The 20599-nt window shown below is 45.7% G+C and overlaps 1 protein-coding gene and 1 pseudogene across 3 annotated transcripts in view; both read left to right on the top strand.

Annotated features, from left to right (window-relative positions):
• The window catches only part of C19orf47 (chromosome 19 open reading frame 47), a 55574-nt gene extending 39344 nt beyond the window's left edge, over positions 1-16230 (top strand). For all 3 annotated transcript variants that reach the window (XM_011526460.3, XM_047438176.1, XM_024451364.2), the window contains exon 10: positions 13843-16230. In XM_011526460.3, coding sequence (XP_011524762.1) covers positions 13843-13865 — 23 coding nt within the window. In that variant the 3' untranslated portion in view covers positions 13866-16230. The remainder of the gene's footprint in view (positions 1-13842) is intronic.
• On the top strand, positions 9600-9706 carry RNU6-945P (RNA, U6 small nuclear 945, pseudogene; annotated as a pseudogene).

Raw genomic sequence — 20599 nt, 5'->3', positions numbered from 1 at the left:
AATAAAGTGGCTGCTGATTATGTAGCTGAACCTACTAGCCATTATCACTGGAGGAGAAATCAGAATTTTCTTCAAACAAACCTGATCATTTTCAATATCCACTTTTATTTATTTGTTTATTTGAAACGTGGTCTCACTGTGCTGCCTAGGCTGGAGTGCAGTGGCATGATCACAGCTTACTGCAGCCTTGACCTCCTGGGCTCAGGTAATCCTCTTGCTTCAACCTCCCAAGTAGCTGGGACTATAGGCACATGCCCGGCTAATTTTTTAATTTTTTGTAGAGACAGGGTCTGGCCATGTTGCCCAGGCTAGTCTCAAACTCTTGGGCCCAAGCGATCTGCCTGCTTTGGCCTCCCAAAGTGCTGGGATTACAGGCTTGAGCCACTGTGCTTTTGTTGTGTATTCTTATAAAATGTTCTATTCTGGGCGTGGTGGCTCACGCCTGTAATCCCAACACTTTGGGAGGCTGAGGCGGGCGGATCACTTGAGGTGAGGAGTTTGAGACCAGCCTGGCCAACATGGCGAAAACTTGTCTTTACTAAAAACACAAAAATTTGTCAGGTGTAGTGGCATACGCCTGTAATCCCAGCTATTTGGGAGGCTGAGGCATGAGAATTGCTTGAACCTGGGAGGTGGAGGTTGCAGTGAGCCAAGATTGCGCCACTGCACTGCAGCCTGGGTGACAGAGCAAGACTCTGTCTCAAAAAAAAAAAAAAAAGTTGACTTTCTGGCTGGGCGTGGTGGCTCACACCTGTAATCCCAGCGCTTTGGGAGGCTGAGGCGGGCAGATCACCAGGTCAGGAGAGCGAGACCATCCTGGCTAACATGGTGAAACCCCATCTCTACTAAAAATACAGAAAATTAGCCGGGTGTGGTGACACGCGCCTGTAATCCCAGCTACTCTGGAGGCTGAGGCAGGACAATTGCTTGAACCTGGGAGGCAGAGGTTGCTGTGAGCCGAGATTGTGTCACTGCACTCCAGCCTGGCGACAGAGTGAGACTTCGTTTCTAAATAAATAAATAAATAAATAAAGTTGCCTTTCCTCCCTCCAGACATTTTACAGAGTACTTGGTCCTGAATTATCAGTAGAGCATATCCTGGCCATCCTTAAACCTTCTTGATTGTGTGTTATTATGAAGAGCTTGATCCTACAGCTGTGTGATCCACAAGTTACTCAACCTCTCTTCAGTTTCCTCTTCACTAAGATGAGAGTAATAATTAGCCGGGCGTGGTGGCGGGTGACTGTAATCCCAGCTACTTGGGAGGCTGAGGCAGGAGAATTGCTTGAACCCGGGAGGTGGAGTTGCAGTGAGCCAAAATTGCATCACTGCACTCCAGCCTGGGTGATAGAGCAAGACACTGTCTCAAAAAAAAAAAGCCACAAAACCAAAAAAACCAAGATGAGAGTAATAATAGCACCTATCCCATGGAATGGTTTTGGGGATTAAATGAGTCGATTAGTGTGAAAGGCTTAAAACAGTACCTGGCATACAGTGTTGATACCTAATTTTATCTCTGAAATTTCCTGTAATCCCAGTACTGTGGGAGACAGAGGCAGGTGGATTGCTTGAGCTCAGGAGTTCAATACCAGCCTGGGCAACAAGGCAAAACCCTGTCTCTACAAAAAATACAAAAATTAGCCAGGTATGGCGGCTACTAGGGAGGCTAAGGCAAGAGGATCCCTTGAGCCCAGGAGGCAGAGGTTGCAGTGAGCCGAGCTCATGCCACTGCATTCCAGTCTGGGTGACAGAACGAGACCCTGTCTCCAAACAACAAACAAACACACCTGCTCGGGTATGGTGGCTCATGCCTGTAATCCCAGCACTTTGGGAGGCAGAGGTGGGTGGATCACTTCAAAACAAGAGTTCGAGACCAGTCTGGCCAACATGGTGAAACACAGAGTCTACTTAAATACAAAAGTTAGCTGGGCATGGTGGCATGCGCCTGTAATCCCAGCTACTCAGGAGGCTGAGGCACAAGAATCACTTGAACCGGGGAGGCAGAGGTTGCAGTGAGCCAGGATTGCACCACTGCGCTGTAGCCTGTGACAGAGCAGGACTTCGTCTCAAAAAAAAAAAAAAAAAAAAAAAAAAGGGCCGGGCGCGGTGGCTCACGCCTGTAATCCCAACACTTTGGGAGGCCCAGGCGGGCGGATCACGAGGTCAGGAGATCAAGACCATCCTGGCTAACATGGTGAAACCCCGTCTCTACTAAAAATACAAAAAATTAGCCGGGCTAGGTGGCGGGCGCCTGTAGTCCCAGCTACTCAGGAGGCTGAGGCAGGAGAATGGCGTGAACCCCGGGGGGCGGAGCCTGCAGTGAGCCGAGATCGCACCACTGCACTCCAGCCTGGGCAACAGCAAGACTCTGTCTCAAAAAAAAAAAAAAAAATTTTAATGACATTCTTACAGGCTATAAAATAACTTTTTTGGTAATGCTTTATTTTAGTATAATTGTAAACTTTTAGAAAAGTAACAAGAAGCCTGATGCAGTGGCTCACACCTGTAATCCCAGCACTTTGGGAGGCTGAGGCTGGCAGATCACCTGAGGTCAGGAGTTCAAGACCAGCCTGACCAACATGGTGAAATCCCGTCTCTATTAAAAATACAAAAATCAGCTGGGCGTGATGGTGGGTGCCTGTAGTCCCAGCTACTCAGGAGGCTGAGGCAGGAGAATCGCCTGAACCCGGGAGGCGGAGGTTGCAGTAAGCCGAGATCTCGCCACTGCGCTCCAGCCTGGGCAGCAGAGTGAGACTTGGTCTCAGAAAAAAAAAAAAAGTAACAAGAGTACAAAGGATTTCTGTATACTCTTTACCCAGATTTGCCAATTGTTTACAATTTGTTCCATTTGTCTTACTGTTCCCTCTTCTCCCCTCCATAAGGATACATGCATCATCTATATCTATTGTGTTATGAGCCATTTGAGAATTAGGTTGGAGAACATCATGTGTCTTTCTTTACCTCAGGACACTTGTGTGTAGTTCCTAAGATCAAGAACATTCTCTTTCCTTTTTTTTTTTTTTTTTTTTTTTGAGACAGAGTTTTGCTCTTGTCGTCCAGGCTGGAGTGCAATGGTGCGATCTTGGCTCACTGCAACCTCCTTCATCTGGGTTCAAGCGATTCTCCTGCCTCAGCTTCCCCAGTAGCTGGGATTACAGGCGCCCACCACCACGTCCGGCTAATTTTTGTATTCTTTAGTAGAGATGGGGTTTCACCATGGTGGGCTGGCTGGTCTTTGAACTCCTGACCTCAGGTGATCCACCTGCCTCAGCCTCCCAAAGTGCTGGGATTCCAGGCGTGGGTCACCATGTCTGGCCGAACATTCTCTTTCATAAGCACAGTACAACTATCAAAACAAGAAATTTAACATGGACATGATACTTTTATCTAATGCAAAATTCATGTTCCAATTTCATCAATTGTCCCAATAACGTTCCTTATTGCTGTTTTTTCTCCTGGCTTGGAATCCAATTCAGGATCACATGTTACATTTATTTATTTATCTTTTCCGAGACACCCTGGTGACTTAACATGTTGCATTTAGGTGTCGTGTAAGAGCTTCCTTTTAGACAGTGAATGTTCAAATATAATGGTCCCGCAAATTGCTCTAGGAAGACTTGATGCCTGCAAGACATAGCTGGGTTTCTGCAGGGATGACCAGCTCATGTGGCGCCATCTTGTGGCAAGTGAATAGAGTTTATAAATCCACTGGGCAGCTGTGAAATTTTTCTCTTCTTGAAAAAGATCAGGTGGTGTTTATATTATTTCAGTTTTTCTTAGTAATGTGGGAGGCTGTGTTGTAAGGATTTTTCTATTTCAAATCTACCTTTTTTTTTTTTTTGAGACAGAGTCTGACTGTGTCGCCCAGGCTGGAGTACAGTGGCACGATCTTAGCTCACTGAAACCTCTGCCTCCCAGGTTCAAGCGATTCTCCTCCCTCAGCCTCCTGATTAGCTGGGATTACAGGTGCCCACCACAACGCCTGGCTAATTTTTGTATTTTTGGTAGAAATGGGATTTCGCTATGTTGGCCAGGCTGGTGTCGAACTCCTGATCTCAGGTGATCCGCTCTCCTTTGCCTCCCAAAGTGCTGGGATTACAGGCATGAGCCACCGCGCCTGGCCTAATTTTTTGTATTTTTAGTAGCAGGCTGGTCTCAAACTCCTGGCCTCAAGTGATCCGCCCACCTCAGCTTTCCAAAGTGCTGGGATGACAGGCATGAGCCACCGTGCCTGGCCAACTCGGTAAACAGACAAGTTCAGACCTGGAATAAAAATCAGCCTAGTACAGAGCTTTAACCTTCCTAATCAAAACTGCATTTGGTAAACAAATATTTTTTGATCCCCAAGTCCCAACTATGTGCCTGGTGTAGGGGAGCAAAAAATGGCTTCCCTGTACCCTTCTAGGTTCTTTGACTGGGCTACATATTAAATTGACATAAGGCAGATTAACAGTAGAAAAAAACTCATTTTAATTAAGTAAGTATGCACAGGAGCCCCACAATATATGAGATTCAAAGAAGGGCCAGATGATTGAAGCTTATATAGCATCCTGAGCTACAGAAAAAAGAGGGGCTTGCGGCTTCTAGGAGGTGGTGGTGACCTAAATTATGGGAGGGTGCAGGGAGGAAGTGTATGGTGAATAAAAGTTGTCTTGTTATGCAGATTATAAGTCTCTTAGTTAAGAAAAGTTGTCCCAGAAGAATAGATCTGGGCGTGGTGCCAACCTCCAGTCTCATCTCCTGTGATCTGAGCTCATCTTTCCTGATTGAGAAGATTCCTGGGGAGGGGATTCGTGACACTGAAGTTCCTTTTGGAGGATCCGTGTTTAGGTAGATAAGGGAAGGTCAAAGAAAGTCCTCCCTGCCCTTGCTGTTCCCCAGGTTCCCTCCATTTGAAGTAATCAGTCTATCAAAGGGATGTATTTTGGGATGGCATTTCTCGAACTTCTTCATTTCTCCTATCTGAAACTTCTCTAGAAGTTCCACATGCTAAAAGTTGATTTGGTGGTGGATGACAGAAAAATCAGATTAGTGTTTGAATAGTATGAGACCTGGGACTAGGTCAGTCCAATTAATCAGTTCTGTCTCATTCCAGGAGGTGGTGTGGCAGGTGGGCTGCCATCACAGTCAGGCCTCTGTATGGCACAAGCAAACAGGTATTTAATAAGAGGAAACAAAAGAATAAGGTTAATGTTTGCAGCAATCTGTAAACTAGTTTCTGAGCCTGGAGGGCAGCCAATTGACATGATTTCTAGATGCTGGATCAAAGCATTTTCAGTTGGAGTAGGGGCAGGCAGTGATAATTTGACACAGATTTTCCTGGTTGCAATTTGCATTAGGGGTTCCAGTGAACTTTTTTTTTTTTTTTTTTTTTTTTTTTCAGACAAAGTCTCGTTCTGTCGCCCAGGCTGAAGTGCAGTGATGCGATCTCGGCTCATTGCAACCTCTGTCTGCCAGGTTCAAGCGATTCTCCTGCCTCAGCCTCCTGAGTAGCTGGGACTACAGGCGCATGCCACCACGCCCGGCTAATTTTTTGTATTTTTAGTAGAGACGGGGTTTTACCGTGTTAGCCAGGATGGTCTCGATGACCTTGTGATCCACCTGCCTCGGCCTCCCAAAGTGCTGGGATTACAGGCATGAGCCACTGTGCCGGCCTTTTTTTTTTTGAGAGTCTCGCTCTGTTGCCCAGGCTGGAGTCAGTGGTATGATCTCCGCTCACTGCAAGCTCCGCCTCCTGGGTTCACGCCATTCTCCTGCCTCAGCCTCCCAAGTAGCTGGGACTACAGGTGCCCACCACCATGCCCAACTAATTTTTTGTATTTTTAGTAGAGATGGGGTTTCACCGTGTTAGCCAGGATGGTCTCGATCTTCTGACCTCGTGATCCCCCCACCTCGGCCTCCCAAAGTGCTGGGATTACAGGTGTGAGCTACTGCGCCTGGCCTGTTTTTTTTTTTTAGATGGAGTTTTGTTCTTGTTGCCCAGGCTGGAGTGCAATGGCACAATCTTGGCTCACTGCAGCCTCCGCCTCCCAGGTTCAAGCGATTCTCCTGCCTCAGACTCCCAAGTAGCTGGGATTACAGGCACCCGCCACCCCGCCCGGCTAATTTTTGTATGGGGTTTCACCACGTTGCCCAGGCTGGCCTTGAACTCCTGACCTCAGGTGGTCTTCCCACCCCGGCCTTCCAAAATGCTGGGATTATAGGTGTGATCCCAGTGAACTTTCTGATTAGTTTGTATATTGGTAGGCATGAAGGTGGTGTATACCTAAGTGTTTGTGGTGATTTATCTGAAGTCTCTATCAAGTCTTCTAGTTTTAGCTTGCAGGGCTTCAGGAAAGGAAGTCTTACTTTCAGTAACTCCAAGTCAGAAGGGAGAAAGACTGGAAATGTTAGTTTGGAGAGTCATAGCCAGACATTTGAGGAAACTGGAAGAATTCAGGATCCACTCAAGTTTCCAGGTAAATAACAAACCCTCCACAACAATGAACTAGAATCTAATAATGGATACACTATAGTTTTCTTCTGAAACATGATTTTTCTTTGTACAGTCACCCCCATTTCTGCCAGACACAATCACAATGAGATCAATTTGTTGCCAGGAGTGGTGGCTCATGCCTGTAATCCCAGCACTTTGGGAGTCGAGGCAGAAGCAGATTGCTTTAGTCTAGGAGACCAGCCTGGGCAACATGGCAAAACCCCATCTCTATAAAAAATACAAAAAAATCAGACGTGGTGGCACACGAAATACAAAAAAATTAGACATGTTCGTGCATGCCTGTAGTCCCAACTACTCAGGAGGCTGACCTCAGAAGGATCATCTGAGCCTGGGGGGTGGAGGCTGCAGTGAGCCGTGATCCTACCACTGTACTCCAGCCTGGGTAATAGAGCAAGACCCTGTTTCAAGGAAAAAAATATCAATTTGTTGCAAAATAAGGTTGGTCTCTTATTAAACTTGGCCTGATTATTTATGTAAGAGCAGTAAGAATAATGATTGATTGTAAAGATTCTTTTTTTTGCTTTTTGGAGATGGAGTCTTGTTCTGTCGCCTAGGCTGGAGTGCAGTGGCACGTTCTTGGCTCACTGCAACCTCTGCCTCCCGGGTTCAAGCGATTCTCCTGCCTTAGCCTCCTGAGTAGCTGGGATTACAGGTGCCCACCACCATGCCCGGCTAATGTTTTGTATTTTTAGTAGAGATGGGGTTTCTCCATGTTGACCAGGCTGTTTTCCAACTCCTGACCTCAAGTGATCCACCTGCCTCGGCCTTCCAAAGTGCTCGGATTACAGGCATGAGCCACTGTGCCTGGCCCAGATTGGACCTTTTTTTTTAAGATTTTTTTCCTAGACAGAGTCTTGCTCTGTCACCCAGGCTGGAGTGCAGTGGAGTGATCTTGGCTCACTGCAACCTCCACCTCCCAGGTTGGAGTGATTCTCCTGCCTCAGCCTCCCAAGTAGCTGGGACTGCAGGCGTGGGCCACCATGCCCAGCAAATTTTTGTATTTTCAGTAGAGATGGGTTTCTCTATGTTGGCCAGGCAAAGCTTCTCAGGCCAGGCGCGGTGGCTCGCACCTGCAATCCCAGCACTTTGGGAGGCTGAGGCAGGTGGATCACGAGGTCAGGAGTTTGAGACCAGCCTGACCAACATGGCGAAACCTCGTCTCTACCAAAAATACAAAAATTAGCTGGGCATGGTGGTGGGTTCCTGTAATCCCAGCTACTCGGGAGGCTGAGGCAGGAAGAATCTCTTGAACCTGGGAGGCGGAGGTTGCAGTGAGCCAAGATCATGCCACTGCACTCCAGCCTGGGCGACAGAGCGAGACTCTGTCTCAAGAATAAATAAATAAATAAATAAATAAATAAATAAATAAATAAAAGCCTCTCAAGGTTATGAAGCCAGGGACTTGCCATCAAACTATGCCTATGGCACTATAATACTGTAGGTATTAAAAAAAAATTATAATCTGTCAGCTCAGTCCCATGTAATTCTTATTCTTCCTGATGTTGTTAGCAGGGTTTCTTTTTCTTTTTATTTTCTGAGACAGAGTCTCGCTCTGTTACCCAGGCTGGAGTGCCTCGGTTCAGTGTAACCTCCACCTCCCGGGCTCAAGCGATTCTCGTGCCTCAGCCTCTGGAGTAGCTGGGATTACAGGTGTGCACCACCACACTCAACTAATTTTTTTGTTTTGTTTGTATTTTTAGTAGAGATCGGGATTCTCTATGTTGGCCAGGCTGGTCTCGAGCTTCTGGCCTTAAATGAACCGCCTGCCTGGGCCTCTCAAAGTGCTAGTATTACAGGCATGAGCCACCACACCTAGTCGAGTCAGCAGTTTTCTGAGTCCAGTTTTTCCACTAGAGTTTTGGAAATTCTTACCCAGTCCAATGTTATAATCATAAGTTTATTAGGACCTTCTATTCCAGACTACTTGTCAGAGTCATTTCCATGAATCTTGAAGAAGCAATTTGGGGCAATAGCTGATTGCAAATGCTTTTAGAGAAGAACCAAAACACTATTGATGAGCAAGACAGAATGGCCATGGTTAAAAAATCTGATGAGAGTTCATTATAACCAGCAATTGACAAGGAAACCTGGTTATTTCTGTGGCATATATCATGTTAACATAGTAACAAAATTATGACTTATAACATTAGATTTCTAGGAATCTCATAATTTTTAGAACATTCATATCAGTAACATATCCAGAAATATAACTTTTTTTTTTTTGAGATGGTGTCTAGCTGTGTCGCCCAGGCTGGAATGCAGTGGTGCGATCTTGGCTCACTGCAACCTCCGCCTCCTGGGTTCAAGCAATTCTCCTGCCTCACCCTCCCAAGTAGCTGGGATTACAGGTGCCTGCCACCACACCCAGCTAATTTTTGTATTTTTAGTAGAGACGGGGTTTCATTGTGTTGGCTAGGCTGGTCTTGAACTCCTGACCTCGTGATCCACCTGCCCTGGCCTCCCAAAGTGCTGGGATTACAAGCACGAGCCATTGCACCCGGCCATATAACTTATTTAAAAAAATGTTTTTTATCACCCTCATCACCTCCTACCCTGGGTTCATAAATATAAACGTTTAGCATCATTTATTATTTGACAATGTTTCCCATTTAATTTAACATTTCAAATAAGCCTAATTAGTCTAATATCTCTCTTTTTTCAGATGGAGTTTCGCTCTGTTACCCAGGCTGGAGTGCAATGGTGCGATCTCGGCTCTCTGCAACCTCCGCCCCCTGGGTTCAAGCGATTCTCCTGCCTCAGCCTCCCGAGTAGCTGGGATTATAGGTGCCCGTCACCACGCCTGACTAATTTTTTTTGTATTTTTAGTAGAGACAGGGTTTCGCCATGTCGGCCAGGCTGGTCTTAAACTCCTGACTTCAGGTGATCCACCTGCCTCGGCCTCCCAAAGTACTGGGATTACAGACGTGAGCCACCGTGCCTGGCTAATGTCTCTCTTTTTCGAGGTGAGAAACACATCTTTTGAGCTTTCCCAGGGGCTCAACTGGCAAATTCCAAAGTTAATTCAAGGTCAAAAGACTGAATTTAGAATTTGATTTTAGGAAGTTTGTCAAAAATGTAAAAAAAGATTTAAAACACTTGATGAGTGCTTGCTTTGGCAGCACATATACTAAAGTTGGAATGATGCAGAGAAGATTAGCATGGCCCCTGTGCAAGGATAACTCACAAATTCATGAGGCCTTCCATATTTTTTGAAATTAAGAAAAGAAAAAAGGAAAAATTTGATTAATAGGATCTCAGGTAACTATTAATTTAGGTCACTAATAATTAGTCTGGTTACCAGAGTGATTATTGAATTATATAGTGATCTGGGATCCTATTTAATCAACTGTTCATTTTATAATCATTTAATATTTTATGATTTAAGTATTTAATGAGCATTTAATATTTATTAATATTCATTTCATAATCACCAGGGTAATTATTAAAAGGCTTTGAAGGCAAATAAAGTTATATAGTTGTAAAAATATATATATTAGCTCTCTTAATAGGATTTTATTTTCTTGGAAAGTAATTGAAGGCCTGATAAAAGATAACATGAAAGAGAAAATTATTTTGATAAGACATAATTTTTTAAGGCAGATTACTTAAAAGGTGAAAAAGAAAATCTTTCACTCTTTTTTATCAATACTACAAGAAAATCTTGCATTTTAAAAGATAATGCCAAATTCTAGTTTTGCATCAATGTACCCTTGATATTAGGGCTCATTTTTAAGACATAATAAATTCACTCTCATTTTTAAGACATAATAAATTCACTCAATTTTGGTCAGTTTGACCACAAAAGATTCTCTCTTTCCAACTTTTATATGCATTCAGTTTTACCTGTATCTTTTCTTCCTTCCTTTATTCTGCAACAACTTATAAACTAGACTAAGTTATTTTTCCTCAACAAAACCCCCCCACATCTTCATACCTCACTAACATCTTACTTTCCTTGTACACTTTGCATACAGAGTCACTTATAGTAGTTATATAATTATATATGAGAATTTTAAGTCTTAGCAACTCTACAGCGAAACCTAGGAAGTAAGCGATTTTGAACTGTCATGAGCTAACATTTTGTGAAGACACATAATTTCTAGAAACGTGTTTTCTCGCAGAATAGTTTTTCAGTATGAAACAGGACATGTTTACCTATGGACCCAAATATATTATTTCTTTCTATAAATTTTAAGAAGCCAAAGGTAAATAAACTTGTGTCTGTGTTCAGCAATGAATGCTTTAGTATTTTGTTTTATTTGGAAATGACCTGGATATTTAATTAATATCTGCCATCCAAGGGTGTTGTTATCAGTGAGGTTGGGAAACCGTTTTAAAGAGCTATTTATAAACCACAATTATTTTTTCTTTTTTTTTTTTTTTTTTGAGACAATGTTTCACTCTTATAGCCCAGGCTGGAGAGCAATGGCATGATCTCAGCTCACTGCAACCTCCGCCTCCTGGGTTAAAGCATAAAGCACGATTGTTGTTGAAAAGTTCATTTATCAACTTTGATCCTACTTACATTTATTTATTTCACATGTTCTTAACAATTATGCTTAGATTAGTCATGGAAGTTTCATGAGACATTAGACAAAGTCAGCTCTCCCAAGTCATTTCCCTAGTCACCATTCTTTTTTTTTTTTTTGAGACAGAGTGTCACTCTGTCACCCAAGCTGGAGTGTAGTGACTCTATCTCGGCTCACTGCAGCCTCTGCCTCTGGGTTCAAGCCATTCTTTCTCCTGCCTCAGCCTCCCGAGTAGCTGGGATTACAGGTGTGCACCACCAAACCCGGCTATTTTTTTTTTTTTTTTGAGACGGAGTCACCTCTGTCGCTCGGCCTGGAATGCAGTGGCACGATCTCAGCTCACTGCAACCTCCGCCTCTCAGGTTCAAGCGATTCTCCTGCCTCAGCCTTCTGAGTAGCTGGGAGTACAGGTGCCCGCCACCACGCCCAGCTAATTTTTTTTTTTTTTTTTTTTTTTCCGAGACGGAGTCTCGCTCTGTTGCCCAGGCTGGAGTGCAGTGGTGCAATCTCGCCTCACTACAACCTCCGCTTCCTGGGTTCAAGCAATTCTCTGCCTCAGCCTCCAGAGTAGCTGGGATTACAGATGCCCGCCACCATGCCCAGCTAATTTTTGTATTTTTAGTAAAGACAGGTTTTCACCATCTTGGCCAGGCTGATCTTGAACTCCTGACCTTGTGATCCACTCACCTCGGCCTCCCAAGGTGTTGGGATTACAGGCGTGAGCCACCACGCCCGGCTAACTTTTTTGTATTTTTAGTAGAGACTGGGTTTCACTATGTTGGCCAGGCTGGTCCTGTACTCCTGACTTCAACTAATCTGCCCACCTTGGCCTCCCAAAGTGCTGGGATTACAGGCATGAGCCACTGTGCCTGTCCCCACTATTCACCATTTTTACATCAAATGCATGTCAGGCAGCCATCATCTAAGCAAGGACCATAAGTGAAATCCATGTATAAGGTTTTTGGGTTTTGTTTTTGTTTTAATTTTTTTTGTAAGTCAGAAGACAGAGCTGATTTTCATTAAACCAACAATATTAAACTAGTTTTATTTACCAAAGATGTACCCAAGTCATGTGAACTTGAAAAGCATTTGGATTACTTCCTATATTTCTAGCAGTTTTAGGCATACAGTCATCTCCTGCATAATGATGTTTAATGAGCAATGCACCACATAGATAATGGTGGTCTCATAAGGTTATAATGGAGATGCCCTCTACAAGTGCACCACTTTTATCTTTTTTTTTTTGAGACAGGGTCTTGCTCTGTTGCCCAGGCTGGAGTACAATGGTGCGATCTCAGCTCACTGCAACCTCTGCCTCCTGGGTTCAAGCAATTCTCTTGCCTTAGCCTCCCAAGTAGCTGGGATTACAGATGCCCGCCACCACGCCCAGCTAATTTTTGTATTTTTAGTAGAGATGGGGTTTCACCATGTTGGCCAGGCTGGTCTTGAACTCCTGACCTCAGGTGATTCACCTGTCTCAGCCTCCCGAAGTGCTGGGATTACAGGTGTGAGCCACTGCGCCTGGCCCACTTTTATCTTTTATTGTACCTTTTCTATGTTTAGATATACGAACACTTGGCCAGGCACAATGGCTCATGCCTGTGATCCTAGCATTTTGGGAGGCCGAGGCAGGCAGATTGCTTGAGGTCAGGAGTTCGAGACCAGCCTGGTCAATGTGGCGAAACCCCATCTCTACTAAAAATACAAAAAATTAGCCAGGCATGGTGGTGTGCACCTGTAATCCCAGCTACTCGGGATGCTGAGGCAGGATAATTGCTTGAATCCAGGAGGCAGAGGTCGCAGTGAGCCAAGATGGTGCCACTCACTCCAGCCTGGGCGACAGAGCAAAACTTGGTCTCAAAAAAATAAAAACAAACAAACAAACAGCATTGTGTTACAATTGCCTTCAGTATTCAGTACAATAACATGCAGTACAAGTTTATAGCAATAGACTATAACTTATAGCCTAGGTATATAGTAGGCTATATGATCTAGCTTTGCGTAAATACACTTTCTGATGTTCACACAATGACAAAATTGCCTAATGAAGGAATTTCTCAGAACATATTCTCATCATTAAGTGACACGTGACTGTATTTAATTTACATGAGTGGGCCAGGCATGTTGGTTCATGCCTGTAATCCCAGCACTTTGGGAGGCCAGGGCAGGAGGATCACTTGAGACCAGGAGTTTAAGAGCAGCCTGGGCAACATGGCAAGACCCTGTCTCTACAAAACTAAAAATATTAGCCAGGAGTGGTGGCACATGCCTGTAGTCCCACCTACTCGGGAGGTTGAGGTGGGAGGATCACTTGAGTCCAGGAGGCAGAGGCTGCAGTGAGTGGTGATTGCGACGCTGCGCTCCAGCCTGGGTGACAGAGCGAGACCCTGTCTCAATAAATAAATACGTAAATAAATAATCTAGGCCAGGCACGGTGGCTCATGCATGTAATCCCAGCACTTTGGGAGGCTGAGGCGGGCGGATCACCTGAGGTCAGGAGTTTGAGACCAGCCTGACCAACATGGTGAAACCTCATCTCTACTAAAAATACAAAAATTATCCGGGTATGGTGGTGGGCGCCTGTAATGTCAGCTACTCAGGAGGCTGAGGCAGGGAGAATCGCTTGAACCTGGGAGGTGGAGGTTGCAGTGAGCTGAGACCACGTTATTGCACTCCAGCCTGGGCGACAGAGTGAGACTCAGTCTCAAACAAACAAAAAAAGTAATCTGATTTCTGCTTTTTAATCTTGTTAGAGGAGTCTCTAAGACTAGCTGTTATATCCCTTTCTGTCCTCTTTTCTTCTTGATCTTTCCATAGGTACCAATAAGACAGCTGTTTAGGCCGGGCACGGTGGCTCACGCCTGTCATCCCAGCACTTTGGGAGGCTGAGGCAGGCGGATCACGAGGTGAGGAGTTCAAGACCAGCCTGGCCAACATGGTAAAACCCTGTCTCTACTAAAAATACAAAAATTAGCTGGGCGTGGTAGCAGGCACCTGTAATCCCAGCTACTTGGGAGGCTGAGGCAGGAGAATCATTTGAACCCAGGAGGCGGAGGTTGCAGTGAGGCGAGATTAAGCCACTGCACTCCAGCCTGGGCGACAGGGCGAGACTCCGTCTCAAAAAAGAAAAAAAGAAAGCAAAGACCTTTGTTGCCACAGGCATTAAGGATAGTGTTTGTGTAAATGGTGTCTCATGACACTCACTGACCCGCTAATCTGTGACACCGGGCAAGCACTACTGGGATTGGACTTTCCTAGCATTGTCCAATTGAAGGTTGAGACAACAAAGCCCTACGGACTGGGACAGTTATTGGGACCAAACTCTCCTGAGAGCTGGCACGAGTGGACAAAGAGAATGCCGCTTGTCACTGCATCGTGGGCTTCCAGCCTATTTGACTGGCTGGCTGACACAGGCTGACACTTGCACCCTCAGCTGGCAGAGGCCAGAGTGTTCTCACTGATGGAAAAGCCAAGCTCTGAGGACATAAAACAAGACCCAAGGAGCACCTCATCTGGTTTTTGTCTTGGGGACCCACAGCAAAATTAGTCTGAACAGACATTGGTTTGCAGAGAACTGTGAACTCACCAGTCTTTGAGGCCTGTGTTCTTGCCCTATGATTCTCTTCTGTATGACACAACACAAAAGACACAGACATGGGAAAATAATGACCATCTCTGGGAGGGGAGGAATCAGAAAACAATAATACCTCCCCTCACCACCAAAAAAAAAAATAACCAAACAAAAAAACCAGAGTTATTATACAAGAACTAGTTCGCACACATTTTCTCCTGCTAATCCAAACTTAGAAAAGGGAAAAAGACAAAGAGACCCTTACCTATCTTGCTTCCGCTGGACTCTACAGGCAGAGATCTGGGGGGCTAATGTGGTAGGAAATCTTATCTGTGGCCAGTGTTTGGTCAGGCATGTCAGGAGCCTGCTGCTGAAGCAGTCCTAGAGTAAAAAGTGAAAGATGCCCCACGTTGGGCACCAGAAACTCGAAGGGAGTGAAAAATGGCTTCCCGCTACCCGTTTTTTTTGGAGACGGATTATTGCTCTGTCGCCCAGGCTGGAGTGCAGTGGCGCCATCTCAGTACACTGCAACCTCCGCCTCACAGGTTCAAGCGATTCTCCTGCCTCAGCCTCTTAAGTAGCTGGAATTACAGGCATGTGCCACCATGCTTTGCTAATTTTTGTATTTTTAATAGAGACGGGGTTTTACCATGTTAATCAGGCTGGTCTACTAACTCCTGACCTCGTGATCTGCCCGCCTTGGCCTCCCAAAATGCTAGGATTATAGGCATGAGCCGCTGCGCCCGGCCCCTCCTGCTATGCTTCTAAGTTCTTTGGCTGGCTTACACATTAAACCAATATAAGGCAGATTAACAGTAGCAAAAGGCCGAGCATGGTGACTCACACCTGTAATCCCAGCACTTTGGGAGGCCGAGGCAGGCAGATCATGAGGTCAGGAGCTTGAGACCAGCCTCATCAACATGGTGAAACCCCGTCTCTACTAAAAATAGAAAAATTAGCCTGGTGTGGTGGCACTTGCCTGTAATCCCAGCTACTCAGGAGGCTGAGGCAGGAGAATCGCTTGAACCCGGGAAGCGGAGGTTGCAGTGAGCCAAGATCGCATCATTGCACTCCAGCCTGGGCAACAGAGCAAGACTCTGTCTCAGAAACAAAACAAAAACAAACAAAAAGTAGCAAAAAATTGCTGGGCACGGTGGCTCATGCCTGTAATCCCAGCACTTTGGGAGGCTGAGGCGGGCGGATCACTTGAGGTCAGGAGTTTGAGACTAGCCTGGGCAAAATAGTGAAACCCCATCTCTACTAAAAATATAAAAATTGGCCAGGCGTGGTGGCATGGTGGGCACCTGTAATCCCAGCTACTTGGAAGGCTGAGGCAGGAGAATTGCTTGAACCTGGGAGGCAGAGGTTGCAGTGAGCCGAGATCGCACCACTGCACTCCAGCCTGGGCAACAGAGTGAGACTCCATCTCGAGAAAAAAAAAAAAAATTACATACTTAGACGTGAGAGTCCCACAAAATATGAGATTTAAAGAAGTGTCAGAGGATTGAAGCTTATCATATAGCATCCTGACCTGCAGAAAAGAAGAGGGGCTTGGGGCTTTTGGGAGGTGGTGGTGACATAAGTTATGGGAGGGTGCAGGGAGGAGGTGTATGGTGAATAAAAGTTGTTATGCAGATTGTCTATTAGTTAAGAAAAGTTTTCCCGGAAGAATAGGTGACAGTCTGGGCATCACGTCAACCTCCGGTCTCCTCTCCTGTGATCTGAGCTCATCTTCTCTGATTGAGAAGATTCCTGGGGAGGGGATTCATGACAATGGAGTTCCTTTTGGAGGATCCGTGTGCAGACAGGTAAGGGAAGGTCAGAGAAAGTCCCTGCACTTACTGTTCCCCTGAGTTCCCTCTGTTTGAAGTAATCAGCATATCAAATGGGCATATATTGGGGTGGTGTGTCCTGAACTCTTTCACAGGCATTCTTCCATGGGCTGGGAATACAGCGGTACCCAGTAGTCCTTGTCCTCATGAGCAAATGTATATTCTGGCTTGGGGGAGGACACAAAATAAACAACAAAAATATTTTAGTGTTAAGTCCTAGGTAGAGGATTCAAATATGCTTACAAACATAGTGACAGCATGGCCCTTTTAGACTCGGAGTGCACAAGGAGGTGAGATTTGGGTTTTTTGTTTGTTTCTTTCTTTTTTGAGACGGAGTCTTGCTCTGTTGCCCAGGCTGGAATGCAGTGGCACCATTTCAGCTCAGTGCAACCTCTGCCTCCCGGGTTGAAGCGATTCTCCCACTTCAGCCTCCCAAGTAGCTGGGATTACAGGCAGCCACCATTATGCCTAGCTAATTTTTGTATTTTTTTTTGTAGAGACAGGATTTCACCATGTTGGCCGGGCTGGTCTGGAACTCCTGACCTCAGGTGACCCAGCTGCCTCGGCCTCCCAAAGTGCTGGGATTATGGGCATGAGCCACTGCACCCGGAGGTGAGATTTGAACAGAGTTGTGAAAGAAAAGAAAGAAGGAGCCAGTCATGCCAAGATCAGGATCAAGGACATGAAGAGTCCAGCCAGAGGAGACAGCAAGTTCCCAAATGCTTGTCTTTTTGTAGGGGCAGAGAGGAGGTATGTGTGTCTGGAACATGGGCCAGGGACAAGAGTAGTTTGTGATGAAGTTAGAGAAACAGGCAGGGACAGATCATATACAGCCATGAAGGCCACGGTGAGGCCTTTGGTTTATATTCCACATGGGATTGGAAGCCATCTATGTGTTGGAAGCAGATTGATAAAGGTGTTTGATCTTATTGAGAGGAGAAAAGTCTGGGTGTGGTGGCTCATGCCTGTAATTCCAGCACTTTGGGAGGCTGAGGCAGGAGGACTGCTTGAGGCCAGGAGTTCAAGACCAGCCTGGGCAACATGGTGAGACCCCCCCCATCTCTAAAAAATTTAAAAATTAGCTGGGCAGGCCGGGTGCAGTGGCCCACGCCTGTAATCCCAGGACTTTGGGAAGCCGAGGCGGGTGGATCACCTGAGTTCAGGAGTTCAAGACCAGCCTGACCAACATGGAGAAACCCCATCTCCACTAAAAATACAAAATTAGCCGGGCATGGTGGCACATGCCTGTAATCCCAGCTACTCGGGAGGCTGAGGCAAGAGAATCGCTTGAACTCAGGTGGTGGAGGTGGAGGATGCAGTGAGCCGAGATCACACCATTGCACTCCAGCCTGGGCAACAAAAGCGAAACTCCATCTCAAAAAAAAAAAAAAAAAAATTAGCTGGGCGTAGTGGTGTGCGCTTGTGGTCCCAACTACTCTGGAGTCTGAGGTGGGAGGATTGCTTGAGCCCAGGAGGTCAAGGCTGCAGTGAGTGTGTTCACACCACTGCATTCCAGCCTGGAAGACAGAGTGAGACTCTGTCTCAAAATAGTAGTAAAATAATAAATAAAAAAGAGGCTGGGCTTGGTGGCTCATGTCTGTAATCCTAGTACTTTGGGAGGCCGAAGCGGGTGGATCACCTGAGACCAGGAGTTCAAAACCAGCCTGGACAACATGGCAAAACCCCACCTCTACTAAAAATACAAAAATTAGCTTGGGGTGGTGGTGGGCGCCTGCAATCCCAGCCACTTGGGAGGCTGAGGAAGGAGAATCACTTGAACCCTGGAGGTGGAGGTTGCAGTGAGCTGAGATCGCACCACCGCAGTCCAGCCTGCGCGACGGGAGTGAGACTCCATCTCAAAAAAAAAAAAAAAAAAAGTAAAAGAAAAAGAAAAGAAAGAAAGAAAAAAGAGCAGAGAAAGCTTCATCCCAAGGTCTACACAAAGTATACTAGCCTAGCATGACCACTTAAATATTTGTTGTTTTGTTTGAGTAGTTGGGACCATGGGTGTGTGCGACTGCACCCGACTAATTTTTTTTTTTTTTTTGTATTTTTTGGTAGAGAAGGGGTTTTGTCATGTTATCCAGGCTGGTCTTGAAGTTTTAAGTTTGAGTGATCTCCTTGTCTTGGCCTCCCAAAGTGCTGGGATTACAGGCTTGAGATGCTGCACCTGGACTTAAACGTTTCGAGAATCTCCGATATATTAGAAAATTGAATGTGCACTGTGTCTTCCATTACAATTTTTGAAAAAGAAACAAATTTTAAAAAAGGAAATTGGAACCAACATTTGCGGAATCCCTGATGCTTATATGTACTTCTGCCAAATATATTAATAACATTACTCTGAAAGGATCTTCCCAACACGGTAGTATCTGGGGGAGGCAGTGGGGAGTGGGCTTTGTAGATTCTGGCTCGGGAATCAAATACATGATTTTGGCATTTCTTTATAATGTGGGAAACTCTTTTAAATATTTTATTTATTTATTTATTTATTTATTTATTTATTTTTTGAGCTAGAGTCTCGCTCTGTCACCCAGGCTGGAGTGCAGTGGCACAGTCTCGGCTCACTGCAACCTCTGCCTCCTGGGTTCAAGTGATTCTCATGCCTCCGCCTCCCAGTAGCTGGGATTACAGGTGCCTGCCACCTCCCGGGCTAATTTTTGTATTTTTAGTAGAGACGGGGTTTCGCCATGTTGGCCAGGCTGGTCTCTAACTCCTGGCCTCAAGTGATCCTCCTGCCTCGGCCTCCCAAAGTGCTGGGATTACAGGTGTGAGACACTGTGTCCAGCCTAATATTTTAAATAAAAAATAAAAATGGGGCCGGGTACGGTGGCTCACGCCTATAATCCCAGCACTTTGGGAGGCTGAGGTGGGCGGATCACGAGGTCAGGAGATTGAGACCATCCTGGCTAACATGGTGAAACCTTGTCTCTACTAAAAATACAAAAATCAGCCGGGCATGGTTGTGGGTGCCAGTAATCCCAGCTACTCGGGAGGCTGAGGCAGAAGAATCACTTGAACCCAGGAGGTGGAGGTTGCAGTGAGCCGAGATCGCACCACTGCACTCCAGCCTGGTGACTGAGAGAGACTCCATCTCAAAAAAAAAAATTATTTTGTGACTAGTCCCCACAGCTTGTCCAGTTGCCATCGATAAGGAGACTCCTCTGTGAGAAGCCTTGGAATGGACTCCTGGGCCTGATTTCTACTCCCTGGGCACAGAAGGGGGCTTTGAGGAGATGTCCTCTCCAACCCTTGGGGCAAGATCCCTCATCGTTTTCTTTTTTCTGAATCAAGAGACCTTTGAACAGCTTTCAATAAGTTACCGGCCCCCTCTACCCAGCAAAGTGCATGTGCAGTCCATACTTATAGTTATGGGGAGAGAGTTTATAGACTAGATTAAGATGGAAGAAAATGGGGTGAGGTTGTAGGGAATTTTCTTCTGGTTCACACTTTTTTTCTTTCTTTTTTTTTTTTTTTTGAGATAGAGTTTTGCTCTTGTTGACAAGGCTGGAGTGCAATGGTGCCACCTCCGCTCACTGCAACCTCCACCTCCCGGGTTCAAGGAATTCTCCTGCCTCAGTCTCCCAAGTGGCTGGGATTATAGGCGCCTGCCACCACGCCCGGCTAAATTTTTGTATTTTTAGTAGAAATGGGGTCTCACCATGTTGGCCAGGCTGTTCTCGAACTCCTGACCTCAGGTGATCCACCTGCCTCTGCCTCCCAAAGTGCTGGGATTACAGGTGTGAGCCACCATGCCCAGTCGCCTCGATCGATCACCCTTGATGCTGAAATGGAAAGGGTCTCGCTGTGTTGCCCTGCCACAAGATTCAAAGTGGCCCTCAAGTTTCACCCTTGATGCTGAAAATAGAGAAAGAGTCTCGCTATGTTGCCCAGGATGGCCTTTGAGGCCCCCCAAAGATAACTAAGCCATTTGCAGAAGTAACATAGGGCACAAAAGTAGGGCCAATACTTTTCCATTTTCTAGCATGAGTTGAGTTAAGAGCACAGGCTCTGGTATCAAACTGTCTGGGTTCAAATACTGTCTTTGTCCTTAACTTGTCCTGGGAACTCAAGCAAGGCCCTTAATGTGCTGTTACATTTAACCTCCAGGGTTACTGTGTAGATAGCAACAGGATAGCATCAGTGGGAGTGTGTTTACACAGAACTTGGC

The sequence above is a fragment of the Homo sapiens genome, chromosome 19 (genome assembly GCF_000001405.40).
Source record: "Homo sapiens chromosome 19, GRCh38.p14 Primary Assembly".
NCBI classification, from domain to species: Eukaryota; Metazoa; Chordata; class Mammalia; order Primates; family Hominidae; genus Homo; species Homo sapiens.
Note: the sequence above shows the minus strand (reverse complement) of the source record. Positions and strands in the feature narration are given on the sequence as shown.